Genomic DNA, 15,636 nt, shown 5'->3' with positions numbered 1-15,636 from the left:
GAACATTTATCCAAAGTACAGTCGCTACTCCTATTTCACTAAAGTTTCCTATTTTGTTAAATTCAATAAAAAATAAATATTAAATATGATCTCATTTTTATAAAATTATTTCTATCCAGCCAGTCAACCATTCATCTTCATCTTTAGGAGAAGCTTGGAATGATGTTCACAAATGTTCACATTGTTTATGTTGGATGGTGAAATTTGGGGTTTTAAAAATATATTGTTTTTTTATTTCCTCAGCACTTTATTGTTTAAAACGTTCATAATGTGCAGGATCAATTTAACAAAAATATTCAAATCATAATTCTTTTAAAACAGAAGACCTGGCCAGGCACAGTGGCTCATGCCTGTAATCCCAGCATTTTGGGAGGCTGAGGCAGGCAGATCACAAGATCAGGAGTTTGAGAACAGCCTGGCCAACATGGTGAAACCCCGTCTCTACTAAAAATATAAAAAAATTAGCCAGGCGTAGTGGCACATGCCTGTAATCCCAGCTACTCGGGAGGCTGAGGCAGGAGAATTGCTTGAACCCAGGAGGCGGAGGTTGCAGTGAGTTGAGATAGCTCCATTGCACCCCAGCCTGGGCAACAGAGTGAGACTCTGTCTGAGGAAAAAAATAAAAATAAAAAAAACATAAAAACTGAAGACCTAAACTCTTAAGGAGCAACTTCTATTCATTTAAAGCCTTTAGGAAATGTAAACAAATCACAAATGTAGACAACACAGATAGAATCTTTCCAACACAAAAAGAAACTCACTGTAACAGCAGCCACTCTTCGAGGCTGGGTCACTCCTACCACTCTTCCTTCAGCTGTCCAGCCGGCTTCTGCAAGGTACTACAAACAAAATCACATCTAAGTATACATATGATACCACTTTTGCAGAGCAATCTCCCCCAAGATGCTCCCGTATTGTGTTAAAATCACTAAGAAAGGAAAAAGTACAGTTCTTGTCCCAGCAGAACTTTGGGAATTATTTTACAGATGGAGGATCTGAGGCTTGGTAATGTTAGGTGATTTACTTAAGTTCACATCAAAGCTGATCAACAGAAGAACTAAGGCGCAATTCCAGCATTCTGACACCCCAGTCCTGGAAAATCACCATGTACTACAGATGCCTCAGGGAACAAAAAATTATCCACAGGTCACTCAAAACAGTGCTAACTCTGTAGAACAAAGAATTTTTAAGCACATATAGAGATGGCTCAACATAAATATCAACCACACAACACATTTCAGCCATATTAAATAAAACAACTGGATTTTATATATATGACTATACACCATTAGATTAGTACACATATATAAAATTTGATTGAACAGGCACGGCGGCTCATGCCGGTAATCCCAGCACTTTGGGAGGCTGAGGTAGGCAGATCACTTGACGTCAAGACCAGCCTGGCCAACATGGTGAAACCCCGTCTCTACCAAAAATATAAAAACGTAGGTGGGTGTGGTGGCACATGCCTGTAATCGTGACTACTCAGGAGGCTGAGGCAGGAGAATCGCTTGAACCTGGGAGGTGGAGGTTGCAGTGAGCCAAGATCCTGCCACTGCACTCCAGCCTGGGTGACAGAGAGAGATTCTGTCTCAAAAAAAAAAAAAAAAAATTTGATTAAGTGTATTTATCTGAGTTACCTACTTATTTAATATCTATGTATTTATTTGATTATATGCACTTAAAATCCAATACGGATAACAGTGGTTATCAGTTACATGTTTTTCTAACATCTAATAGTTTTACAATGAACATGTATTACTTCTACAATAGAAAAAAGATTTTAAAAGTTACTGCGTGTACCTGCTCATGTGTTCAAAAGAAATAAAGGAAGGATAATATAGATACTAAGAAATGGTTGTCTACAGGGAATGGGTGGGAAAGGTGTAGAAAGAAGGGGAAATGGAGGGAGGGGAACAGGGATAAAGAGGGCGTGTCAATGCTCTCAATAGATCTTTTTGTGTAGCTCTGACTCTGAGAATCACAGCCATGCATGTTTCACATACTTTTTAAACACCCAGAAGACAAATAAAACCAACCAGGATGTGGAGGGAAACCTAAAGGAAATATAAACACTAACAGATGACCCTTTCTATACTACAAATGAATAACATAACCACACTGCAGGGGGTGGAGAAGAAAAGAACTTACCTAAGGAATGATGGAAAAATATATCTTGACTGTATGTTGTAAGGCTAAAGACAGAAAGAACTGTACATAAATGCTGTAATCTAGTTAGTAAATATCCAAACAAGGTTACAAGTTAGCAATTCTGAAACTATTTTAATGAATCCACAAATATACTGTAGATGATAAGGACTAAGCTTCTCATTGTTGCAGAGAAGTTATAAATAAAGAAAGGCTCAAAAGAGCCCTATGGTATTAGATTGGAATCAGAAGCATTTGCATAAACTCATGGTGTTTAAAATATAGATGGATAGACAGATACAGATAGCTAGATGTTTTTATAATGTATGGCTTAATATTCATACATATATTTCCTAAGTCTGCTCACTGAGACTCAGCAATGACATCTCGTAGCAATGAGCACTCTAGCATCCGGATCATGATTTCTTTTTTTTTTTTTTTTTTTTGAGACAGAGTCTCGCTCTGTTGCCCAGGCTGGAGTGCAATGGCGTGATCTCGGCTCACTGCAACCTCCGACTTCTGGGTTTAAGCAATTCTCCTGCCTCAGCCTCCCTAGTAGATGGGATTACAAGTATGCAACACCATGCCCGGCTAATTTTTTGTATTTTTAGTAGAGACCAGGTTTTGCCATGTTGGCCAGGCTGGTCTCAAACTCCTGACCTCAGGTGATCCACCCACTTTGGCCGCCCAAAGTGCTGGGATTACAGGTGTGAGCCACCACGCCCGGCCCCAGATCATGATTTCTAAACATCATTCTCCAATAAAAGGAACCAGGGCTTGTGTAGGAAAAAATATAAGACAAGCCTGAAACATCTTGTAGTACTAGAAAGTAAGGAAGCGGTCAAAAAAATGAAAGCTTTAGAAAGAAAACAGGAGCCAAAATGAAGGAGCTTCTAATGTTCAAAGATGAAACAATCTGAGCAACACAATAAATAATGACAGTATTGGGCTTTAACACATAGAAAAAAATAAGTATCTATGAATCCATATTGATACACGCAAATAATCTAAGAAATAAGTGAGGAAGAAAGCACAGTTCTTCCTTACAGAAAATTACATTTAATAAAGATAGAGGGAAAGAGGAGAAAAGAAAATCATCACTGCTACAGACAAGATCCACTGAGGGGGATACTAAACTTAGTAGGTGAGAGTTGGAAGAAAAGTAGACTATTTGCAGTGTGAAAATATGTCCCCCAAGATACATATCAACTAAAAAGGGAAAGACAGTAGTTTCACAGGCAAAAGCTGGAACCTTAACCAAGTGACCAAAGTTGCTATTACCAGTGACAAGACATATCAACATTATGAACCCTTGAAATGATGCACTAAGGATACAATATCATTTCTGTAGTATTCTTGCCAAAAATACATAAGCTCCTTCTAATCATGAGAAAACATGACATAAACCCAAACTGAGGAACATTCTACAAAGTAAATCCCATTAGTCTTTTAAAGTGTCAAGTTCATGAAAGATGAAGACATATTGAGGAATTCGCACAACCTAGAAAAGATTAGGGAGAAACAACAACTAAATGCAATGTAGGATCCTAGAACTAAAAAAGAACCTTAGTAAGAAAACTGATGAGATTTAAATAAGGCCTATAGTCTAATTACTATTATTGTACCAATGTTAATGGCCTGCTTTCGATCTCTGCACTAGTAGTGAAGAGTATAAGGGAATTCTGTATTGTTTTTTGCAATTTTTCTATTAGTCTAAAAGTAGTTAAAAATAAAGTTTAGAAAATGACTGTAAGAAACAAAGGGTTGAAGATAATGTAGGGTTTTTGCTATAAAAACTATAAAGTTTATCTTGTATTAAATACATATACAAAATACTACCAACCACCCCAATCAACACAAATACAAAAAAAAAAAAAACAGAACTATAAGAATAATAGCTAAGAGTCAATGAGTACCTTATTAAGTGCCAGGAACTGTACTGAGTGCCTTATATGCATTGACCCATTTAATCCTCAAAACAAATTCTATAAGGAAGGTAACATCATCATCAACAATACACAGATGAGGAAACAAAGAGGCCACATAATTTGTCCAAGGAAACAAATAAAAATCTGTATCCTGGACTTCAAGCTCAGCAAACCAAAGTCATGACACATAAACAGAACACAACATATTATCCTACTTCAAACACACATAGCCAATCTCTTAGCAGTAGTGTTAAGTGAAAGAAAAACAATTTCCATAAAAATAAGCCTGTCCATAAAGCTAGTCACCTCAATACCCTGTGTGATTCAGACTTCTATGGCATGCTTATGATTGCTGAGAGGTGGAAATTTAAAGCTACTGAAAAAGCAGGTGTAGTGCTAACGTCAAGAGGCAGTGGAGAGTCACGGAGGGAGATCACTAAAACGTAGCTGAAGTCCATCTGAGTTCTCCACTCTTTTTAAGGATCACCAAATCTGGGCTTCTGGCTAAAGGACAGAATTAGGAAGAACTCCACCAATAACAGTACTAATAAAAATTGTACTTAAGAAGAGCTTGTGTTCATAGCCCTTATTTTTGTTTTTTTTTTTTACAGAACTCTAGTAAAAAAAAAAAAAATCATCTAGGTTCTACATATAGTTTGTAGAATTTCAAAATTATTAAGTATCCAGTGCTTTTGCACATTGTTTTTTCCCAAGGAAAGGTACTATATAAATCTAACAAGAGAGAAAAACCTGCTCCGTATCCTTGCTGTAACCTTTAGTTCCTCAGCCATTCCAATTTTCCTAGATCATAGCCCAAATTTAGCTTCACAATAAGTTGGAAACAGTGACTGTCTCAGGTACGGGGAACTGAGTGGCTAGGAGAAAAGGGAATACTCCATAAGAGGGGTAGCAGATATTTGGACCAATAATACAATCTATTACAATGATCTAGTCATTTTCAACAGCAAAGCTTAGGAGATTAACTTTTCACCATTTATTCCTTTGTTCTTTTTGAATTTTGTACTATGTAAATGTATTTCCTATTTTTAAAAAGTTTATAATAAAATGCAATTCCTTAAAATAATTCAATTCAAATGCACATGTGTTTTGAGCCAGCAACCCCATAAGTATTTTATTTATTCTATAAAAATATCTATATGTGTGCAAAATGATTTATGTGCAAACTGACTCCACTGCATCATTGTGATAATACAAAACTGTAAACAACCTAAATGTCTATCAATTGGGGATTGGTAAATTATGTTCACATACTAGCATCTATGGAACTGGAAAAAAAAACCAACAATACATTATGTGAAAAAAAAGACCAAGTGTGAAGGCATTACCTGACTTCAAAAAACGTTACAAAGCTATAAACAAAACAGCATGGTCCTCACATAAAAACAGACACACAGACCAATGGAACAGAACAGAAAATCCAGAAGTAAATCCACACATTTAAAGTCAAGTGATTTTCAACAAAAGCACCAAGAACACATCTTAGGGAAAGGACAATCTATTTAATAAATGGTGCTGGGAAAACTAGATAATCACACGCAGAAAAATGAAACCAGTTCCCTAACTCTCACCACATATAAAAATCAAATCAAAATGGATAAAAGACTTAAATGAAAGGACCAAAGTTATGAAACTACCAGAACAAAAGAGAAGGGAAACACTTCATGACACTGGTCTGGGCAAGGATTTTTTGGATATGACCTCAAAAACATAGGCAACAAAACGCAAAAATAGACAAACGGGATTGCATCAAATTAAAAAGCTTCTGTTCAGCAATGAAAACAATCAACAGAGTGAAGAGAAAACCTACAGAATGGGAGAAAATAAATGCAAACTATTATCTGATAAAGAGTTAATATCTAGAATATATAAGGTGCTCAAACAATTCAATAGCAAAAAACTAAAAATCCAATTTAAAATGAGCAAAAGGGTGTGATTCCGCCCTGCACAGCTGTTCTCTGGAGCAGGGGTCATTTATCTCCATCCGCCTTCTCTCCCACCTAAGTACGTGCCACCACCCCATGAAAGATGTGATGGACACGGACATGAGCCCTGTGAGGCCCCAGAACTATCTTTTTGGTTGTGAACTAAAGGCCATCAAAGATGATCACTTTAAGGTGGATAATGATGAAGATGAGCACCAGTTATCTTTAAGAACGGTCAGCTCAGGGGCTGGTGCAAAGGATGAATTGCACATTGTTGAAGCAGAGGCAATGAATTACGAAGGCAGTCCAATTAAAGTAACACTGGCAACTTTGAAAATGTCTGTACAGCCAATGATTTCCCTTAGGGGCTTTGAAATAATACCACCGGTGGTCTTACAGTTGAAGTGTGGCTCAGGGCCAGTGCATATTAGTGGACAGCACTTAGTAGCTGTAGAGGAAGATGCAGAGTCAGAAGATGAAGAGGAAGAAGATGTGAAATTCTTAAGTATATCTGGAAGGTGATCTGCCCCTGGAGGTGGTAGCAACGTTCCAGAGAAAAAAGTAAAACTTGCTGCTGCTGCTAATGATGATGATTTTGATGATGAGGAAACTGAAGAAAAAGCCCCAGTAAAGAAAGCTATACAAGATACTCCAGCCAAAAAATGCACAAAAGTCAAATCAGAATGGAAAAGACTCAATACCACCAACACCAAGATCAAAAGGACAAGAATCCTTCAAAAAACAAGAAAAAAATTCCTAAAATATCAAAAGTTCTGTAGAAAACACTAAAGCAAAAATGCAAGCAGCAACAGTTGATATCTGGCTGTTCTTTTTATAATGCAGAGTGAGAACTTTCCCTACCGTGTTTGATAAATGTTGTCCAGGTTCCATTGCCAAGACTGCGTTGTCCAAAATGCCTGTTTCATTTTTAAAGATGGAACTCCACCCTTTGCTTGGTTTTAGGTATGTATGGAATGTCATGATAGGACATAATAGTAGTGGTGGTCAGACATGGAAATGGTGGGGAGACAAAAATATGTAAAATAAATGTGAAATAAAACTCAGTATTTTAATAAAGTTAAAAAAAAGATGGGCAAAAGACCTGAATAGACATTTCTCAAAAGAAGATGCACAGTGTATTATTTCATATATACGAAATAATGCTCAACATCACTAATCATCAGGAAAATGCAAATCAAAACCACAATGAGATACCACCTCACCCCAGATAGAATGGCTACTATCAAAAAGATGAACGACAGCAAATGTTGACAAGAATGTGGAGAAAAGGGAACTCTTGCACACTGTTGGTGACAATGTAAACTAGTACAGCCACTATGGACAACAATATGGAGGTTTCTCGAAAAATTAAAAACAGAACTACCATATGATGCAGCAATCCCACTACTGGGTATTTATTCCCAGGAAAGGAAACCAGAACATCAAAGAGACATGTACACTCCCATCACTATTCACAACAGCCGAGACATGGAATCAGCCTAGGTGTCCAACAACAGATGAACTGGTTTTTAAAATGTGATATATATACACAATAGAATACTATTCAGTCATAAAAAAGAATGAAATCCTGTCATTTGCGCCAACACAGATGAACCTAGAGGACATGATATTAAGTGAAATAAGCCAAGCACAGAAGGACAAATACTGCATGAGCTCACTCACATGTGGAATCTAAAAAAGTTGATCTTACAAAAGTAGAGAATAGAACAGTGGATACTAGGGGCTGCAGAGGGAAGAGGGGAACAGGGAGTAGGGAGAATAAAAGGTTGGTCAACAAGCACAGAGTTATAGTTATATAGGAGGAATAAGTTCTGGTGTTCTACTGCACAGCAGAGTGACTATAGTTAACAATAATGTGCCATAGACTTCAAAATAGCTAAGGGAGATTTTGAAGGTTCTCACCACAAAGAAATGATAAATGTTTGAGGTGATGGATATGATAATGACCCAGATTTGATCATTATACAACATATACATATATCAAAACATTACACTAAATCCCATAAATATGCACAGTTATGTGTCAATTCAAAACAGTTTTTTTTTAAAATGAAAGAATAAGTAAAAAAAAAAAAAAAAGTCAAGGCATACTAAAACATGTATAGATGTTTCATGTTTAAAATAGGGCATATATGTGCATACACACACACACACACACACAGACACTTCTCTGTAAATGCATGAAAAAATTTCTACCAAGAAACTCATAATACTGATTATAACTGCACAAAGGAAATGGGTACCAGGAAGACAGGGCAGAAGGAAATCTTTGTATGTCCCTTTGTGCCTTTTGAATTTTAAATCATGTGAACCTATTAATGTTCAAAAATATTAAAAATATTCAAATCTTAAAATTAAAAGAAAAAAAAACTACCTTTGTTTGCCCACATTACCCAGCCTAGATCCTCAGCCTCTGCTCTTTCTCCTTCCCACCAGCTTTCCCTGGACTTAGTAACACAGCAGGCCCTCTCTGTTCCCTGGCAGCTAAGCCTTGCAGGAGTAAATGGCCAAATCACTGTGATATATTTATCATTGTTCCAAATACCTGCCACCCATCCCTATGGGAGGATTATATACACTGTCACCCCGTTGCTATCAGGCCTGGCCATATAACTTGCTTTGACCAATGAAATGTGAACAGAAGGCCCACTTTTGGTCAGAAGTTTTAAGAGCTGTCTCATGATTCTGCCATCTACCACAAGATCAACAAGTGCCTCATAAGAGCAGTACCATCAGCCTAAGGCCCAATGATGATGTGATAGAATCTCAAAGCCAACCCAAGATAACCACACAGTATGAGCAAGAAATAAACCTTTGTGTTTTTAAGCCACTGAGATTTTCAGGTTCTTTGTTACCAGAACATAGTTTATCCTAAGCTGACTACATAACGTCACAGACTAATTCCCAAACAATTCTGGAACATCATGTGGTCTTTTACCTCTGTTCTATATTCCATAACCTCATTACTCTCTACAGTGTCCTCACCTATAAAATGAAGATAATAATGGTATTTGCTTCATAGGGTCATTGAGGATTAAACAGATCAACATGTGTAAAATCACTTTATGTAGCACTTATTACTGTTATTACTTGTTATACTATTGTTATATTACTCTCTAAATGACAATCACACAGTAATTTAACCTTTCTCCTGTTTCTTCCTGTAAGAAATGAGTAACTTACTAGGCTCTCAATTCCATCTGCATATACGGTTATCTTTTTCCTCCAGGCCACCATTTCCTCTGCTGCATGCATTTCAAGTTGTCCTTTACTAGGTCATCTACCTTTACTAGGTCTGTCTACCTTTCCCTAGCTGTCTATTGGGAAACTTTAAAAAAATACCTACATCTGGGTCCCAACCTATTTATAAACCCATTATTCAAAATGGAGTTGGGGAGCAGACAAAAAAAAAGATCTACACAGATCCTGGCATGACCACAAGTCTGGACCAAACAGTCAACAACACATTGTTAACATATTCAAATATGCAAAGGGATTTTTATCATCTTACCCTTAGACACCCTTAACCCTAAAACCCTACCACTGGACGTGCTATCTCCAAGATGAATAACCCAGGACTGAACCAGTTCTCCTGCTCCCTGGCCGCTCTGTTGGCTGAAACTGCCACCTACCCACCTCTCCAGAAACCTCACTCTGTCTTTGCTTTCTCTAACCATGAAGAGTCTGCTGGTTCCTCTGTCATTTCCCTGGCTGCCATTCTATCTCCTTTCTGCTCCTGACTCCTGAATGTTGATGCTCCATGGACTTTGTCCTTAATCCTCTTCTCAGTTATTTCTGTTCCATCTCCTTCCTGCATGTATCAGGATGTTCAATCCCTATGTCCACACCTTCTACGTCTGACCTCTGCCAAGCTTCAGATTCCCATTCCAAACTTCCTGCTAATGTCATCAAAGGCCATCAATAATATAGGAAAAAATAAATATGTTTAAAAACACACACATTAATTTCCCCTCAAAAAAACAATCTTTACTTTTCTATCACATTTAATACTAGCACTGTTCGCCAAGGCAGCAAGTCGTGATCAGTCACTGTGCACCTTTGTCCCTTCCCCTTTGTCATCACAAATATCCATCTATTAGATTGGTGCAAAAGCACCAACCTAAGTTTCTAATGTCTACAGACCCTAACGCTAAAATTGTAAATTGTTCTCCTTCCCATCCTCACCAGATTATCCCACTATCACCTCTTGGTTGAGGACCCCGTTACACCATCCTTCTCTAGACCACTGCAATAGCTTTCTATGGCCTGCCTCCTCCAGTTTCTAAGTCACCTTATATCTCAATATAATCATTTATCTAAAGCTCAGCTTGTCATATTGTTTACTTGCTTGCAAACCCTACAAGGACACAACCACTTTGAATATCTTAGACATTATTTACTAAAGTTGAACACAGGATCCAGCAATGCTACTCTTAGGTAGAGCCCAGCAGGAGAATGTGCACATACGTTCACCAAAGACAAGCACATGAATGTTCACAGCAGCACTATCCATAACTAAAAACTAGGAATGACTCAAATGTCAGTAACAACAGGAAAAATAAACAAACCACAGAATACTCATAGAGTGGAATACTAACTAGCAGGGGTTAGCATTACATTTTACATTTCTGTAAAGGGCCAGATGGTAATTTTTAGGTTTTGAGGATCGTAGGGTCTCTGTCAAAACTGTTCAACCCTGTGTGGTAGCCTGAAAGGAGCCACCGGCAATATATCAACAAGTAGGAGTGGCTGTGTGCCAGCAAAGATTTCTCTACAAAACAGGCAGCGGGCTGCATCTGGCACACTGGCTGTGACTTGCCGAACCCTGCTATGCAGTAATGAGAATGAACAAACTGCAACTAATTCAACACCAAGGAAGACTCACACATAACGTTGGACAAAAGCAGCTATATTATTCCTTTATAAAATTCCAAATATACGCAAAACTAATTTATGAGGTTAGTAGCCAGAATAAGAGCTACCCTTGTGTTCATGATTGTAGGGGTAAGCAGACATGGCAGTTAGAGATGAGAACAGAACACAGAAGAAGAGTTCTTGAGGTTTTGGTAATGTTCTGCTTCTTGATCTGGGTGCTGGTAACACAGATGTATTCCACTTGCAGAAATGTATCAAGGTGTACAATTATGATATAGGTACTTTCCTACATATATGTCATACCTCAAGAAAATTAACATTAAAAAAGGAAGTAAGAACCTGCAAGGTCTCTCAAGCTCAGTCAGTCTTCACTCTTCAAGTTAAGGTTCTTAAGACACACTCTGAACTCACCCTACACTTCTCCACCCCAGTATTTCTAACCACAATATTCACTGGCTTGGAATATCTTCTCAGTCAGCTCCCAGTCAAGGTCAATTTCAAATGCCAATTCCTTTACAAGGCCTTTCTTGATCCTTCTTTCTACTCCTATCCACATCACATAGGATTTTTCCTAGTAAGAAAGGGTTCTTCCATAGCACTGCATAATACTATAACAGCCAATTTTTATTTACAACTACAGCAAAATTCATTTTACCCCACCCCTTCAACTGTAACTATTTAAGGATAAAAACTCTATATTTCACATCTTTGAATAAATCTCCATTGTAACTTTCAGAAGATGGCCATTCCATTACTATTTTGGAATTATAATAAATCGAAGACAAACTGTTACTTTAGTACTCACCAAAGAAATTATAAGCCCTAAAAGTTTAATAAAAAATATCTAGTTGAAGTGAACATTTCCTGAAAGGAGACCTTAAAAATGTAAATGATAGTAAAGAGAGCTCTCAAGTTACAAAATTCTTCCAGCCAAATCGAAGTGTAAAGACACTTATTAAATATGTACTCACCTGAGGAATCTGTGTGCTCTTCCCACATCCTGTTTCACCAACAATCACCACTGTCTGATAATTTTCTATCAAGTATAAAATATGATTCCTAAGCTGAAAAAGAATAACACACCTTGCAAATAGCCATACATTGTCTCAAAAGACCTAAACAACGATATTTAAACATTGTGAAATGAGCTGTTTTCAAAGGAAAGTGAATTTTAAGTAGAACTATCAAAATGTATTTCTAACCCTCAGGTACTGTTCCTCTCAGTATGAGCGAATACAACTGCAATCGTGTTAACACTTATCAAAATACATAATGCATACGCCCTTTACATTTTCACTTATAAGAAATTATAGGCCGGGTGAGGTGGCTCACGCCTGCAATCCCAGCACTTTGGGAGGCCAGGGCCGGGGGTGGATCATGAGGTCAGGAGTTCAAGACCAGCCTGGCCAACATGGTGAAACCCTGTCTCTACTAAAAATACAAAAATTAGCTGGGCGCAGTGGAAAGTGCCTGTAATACTAGCTACTCAGGACGCTAAGGCAGCAGAATTGCTTGAACCCAGGCGGGGGGAGGCTGCAGTGAGGCGAGACCATGCCACTGCACTTCAGCCTGAGCAACAGGGTGAGACTCTGTCTCAAAAAAAAAAAAAAAAAAAAAACAAAACAAAACAAAAAAAACAAGAAATTATAGACATACTGCTACATACTATATGTGTACAAAGACATAAATACAAGCATACTCATTGCAGAGTTGTTTATAATAGCCAAAAATTCAAACAGCCTAAATGTTGATCAACAAAAGTTTGGTTAAATCAGTCATAAAATATTCCAATAATGGAATAATTTGTAGTTATTAAGAAGAGGAAATATCTACTTGTACTGATATGGAATGAACTATAAGATATGTTAAGAAAAGGAAGTGAGATGTAGAACAGTGTGAATAATACCCTAGTAACTGCATTCTTCTTAGGGCAAACACGTATCTACTTGTTTATGCGTAGACTGTTTTTGGGGAAAAACAAAACAAAACAAGAAGCTGTCAATAGTGCTGCCCCCAGAGAGGTTGACATGTTCTTACACTAAGGACAATATACAAAGCAGAAATCAGGAGGCATTTATAAGACTGGGTCTAAACAGAAGTGAACATGGCAGACTTGCATCCAAGATAGAGTCACTATTGTCTATACAGCAGCCTAAAGAAGGCAGACAAGGGAACAGGTGGCCTCATAATGGTGCTGGGGAAGAGGCAGTGATCTTTAACAATCTCTTGATGCTTTAGTTCCAACATTGTTTTGTTTTGTTTTGTTTTTTGAGATGGAGTCTCGCTCTGTTGCCCAGGCAGGAGTGCAGTGGTGCAATCTTGGCTCACTGCAACCCCCACCTCCCGGGTTCAAGAGTTCTCCTGCCTCAGCCTCCCAAGTAGCTGGGATTACAAACATGTGCCACCACGCCCGGCTAATTTTTTATATTTTTAGTAGAGATGGGGTTTCACCATGTTTGCCAGGTTGGTCTCGAACTCCTTGTCTCAAGTGATCCACCCGCCTCAGCCTCCCAAAGCCTATAGGATTACAGCCGTAAGCCACCACACCGAGCCTCCAATTTCTGTTTTTAAAGCTACTTTTACTTTTTGTTTGAAAGGGAAAAAGGATGGCGTAGAGGTAACTTGTTTTCCTTTTTGTCTCGATTCATCTTCAACATCTTATAAGATCTCAACTGTACTTAAACTCTGCTTTGCTTTATATCAGTAACTTACACCCTTCTTCTTACCATTTTAATTTCATAAACATTTCTTAACTTCTTGTTGCTTTTTTTTTTTTCATTTGCTGTTTCATTTATGTTATCTTGTAAGTACAGTTGGGAGACAAAGAATAGTCAAGAAAAGGCCAAAATTTAAATACTTGAGTAAACAGTAATTTCCCTTGTACTTGAGCATTTACTACATGTCAGGTATCTTGCTAAATGCTCTGCATGGATGATCTCATCTGGTCCTCATAACAGTCCTATGAGGTAGGTGCTCCTGTAGTCCTACATCACAGATAAAGAAAAGAAGCTCAGAATGGAGAAGTGAGGTCACACAGCACACAAATGGTGAAGCTTGGGTTTGAACCCTGAAGTCTAGCTCCAGAGTCCGGACACTTCATCACAGCTCAAACTGTCCCTCAGTGGTGAGAAAGCAATAGTAAACCTATCATTTCATCTCCTGAAAGTCAAACTTGCTAACATTCATACATAGTGAATGTGTTAGTCACTTGAGGAAGAAACCCAGAGACAGTCAGTTCACTTGTGACTAAAATATTGGGAGCCACATAAAACTCCAAGTAAGGCAATCTGGCTAAATTAAGAAGGCTGCTGTTGCCTATCTGTTTGGAGAAAGAACACATTAATAGAAGAGGAATTATCAGCACAGTCTAGTCAAAAGAACTCCATGAGTATAAGAACTTGGCACCTTTTGGCTGCTCACACCTGTAATCCCAGCACTTTGGGAGGCCGAGGCAGGAGAACTGCTTGAGCTCAGGGGTTCGTGACCAGCCTGAACAATATAGGAAGACCCTGTCTGATAGATAGACAGACAGACAGACAGACAGACAGATAGATAGAACACAGCAACTTTCACCCAGCACCGTCCAGGAGAAAGAAAGAGACACAGATGCTGGTGGCCACACCTACTCGGGTCATTCCAAGGGCATCCTGTGGAGCAGGGAGAATTCACCCCTCATCAGGGGCTGTATGACATTTCTGTAACCTGTCTTGGCTCTGTACTTCCTGATTACAATTTGGCTTCCCATGTGGATGTGCCAACAGGGACAAAGTGTATATGTCAACTGTGTCCATCTGTACTGGAGAATTATTGCTAGCCATAAATGAACAGTTCTGAATGAATTCTAGTTTGCACTTTGGTCTCTTGTAGCTGAGCACACATCTGTTTCGTGAGCGCTAATAAAACTGAGTGTCTGGATGTGCACTTGGTAAGTAGTAACCATACCAAAATCCTGTCACTGTCTCAGAGGAAGTCAGAGTATTAACTGATGTCTTCAGCAGAAACAACCTCATATTCCCAATTAAACTTGTTTAAAGGAGTGACTTTAAAAATAAAGCAAAAATTGGCCATATGTTGGTAATCTGTTATATAGAAATTAACTGCTATTTTCTCTACTTTTCTGTATATCTGAAATTGTCCACAGCTGAAAGGAATAAAGGGGAAAACAAAAGTCATTCTAATTCCTCCAGTTTTCCAGTATGTACGATGCAACTGAAAAAATCTTAAGGACTTTCAAGATTTATAAGGTTAACTAAAAAATACACAGTATGAAAAGTCATCCCTTACAGTAAGGGTTTCTCTGAGCTCACTGTGTTCTAGAAAGAGGCCATCATTCCCTTCAGTGCTGAGCATAAAGCTAATGCAGACACACGATTCAAGCCCACAGGTTGAACATGATTATTTGACGTACCTTGAATACCGGCAGCTTCTGCCTCTGCTGCTCTATGGAAAGGGCAGCATAAGGGTTGTAAACAACCGTTGTCCCAGAGTTTTCAGCCAGACTTTGTCTCTCTTCAGAGATGCTTACACCTGGCCCCTCTGTACCTGCAGCAGAAATGTTTTTTTTTCAGATTCTCTGATACAATGAACAGAAAAAGGTGTTAAGTTTATAAACTTTCAAAGATGAAGATATACAGAAGAAGCAATACTTTTTATCTCAAACTACTCAAAGGTATTCAACCTTAACTTTAGGAAAGAATCCAGAAAAGTGCCTACGAGGAACT

At 38.2% G+C, this 15,636-nt stretch overlaps 1 protein-coding gene and 1 pseudogene across 10 annotated transcripts in view; one reads left to right on the top strand and one right to left on the bottom strand.

The window, feature by feature from the left end:
• Positions 1-15,636, bottom strand: part of DHX35 (DEAH-box helicase 35) — a 77,378-nt gene that overhangs the window by 55,184 nt on the left and 6,558 nt on the right. For 8 of the 10 annotated variants that reach the window (NR_033905.2, XR_007067474.1, XR_007067475.1 and 5 more), the window contains exons 2-4: positions 15,324-15,457; positions 11,887-11,979; positions 762-839 (exon numbers count right to left, since the gene is read on the bottom strand). Coding sequence is in view for 7 of the 10 variants with exons in the window: in NM_021931.4 (NP_068750.2) it covers positions 762-839; positions 11,887-11,979; positions 15,324-15,457 (305 nt within the window). In the remaining 3 variants the exon portion in view is untranslated. The remainder of the gene's footprint in view (positions 1-761; positions 840-11,886; positions 11,980-15,323; positions 15,458-15,636) is intronic. The other 2 variants (NM_001190809.2, XM_047440354.1) reach the window with 1 other exon arrangement.
• NPM1P19 (nucleophosmin 1 pseudogene 19) lies at positions 6,024-7,024 on the top strand (annotated as a pseudogene).

Source organism: Homo sapiens, chromosome 20 (assembly GCF_000001405.40).
Source record: "Homo sapiens chromosome 20, GRCh38.p14 Primary Assembly".
NCBI lineage: Eukaryota > Metazoa > Chordata > Mammalia > Primates > Hominidae > Homo > Homo sapiens.
This window is presented reverse-complemented; position numbering and strand designations above follow the sequence as displayed.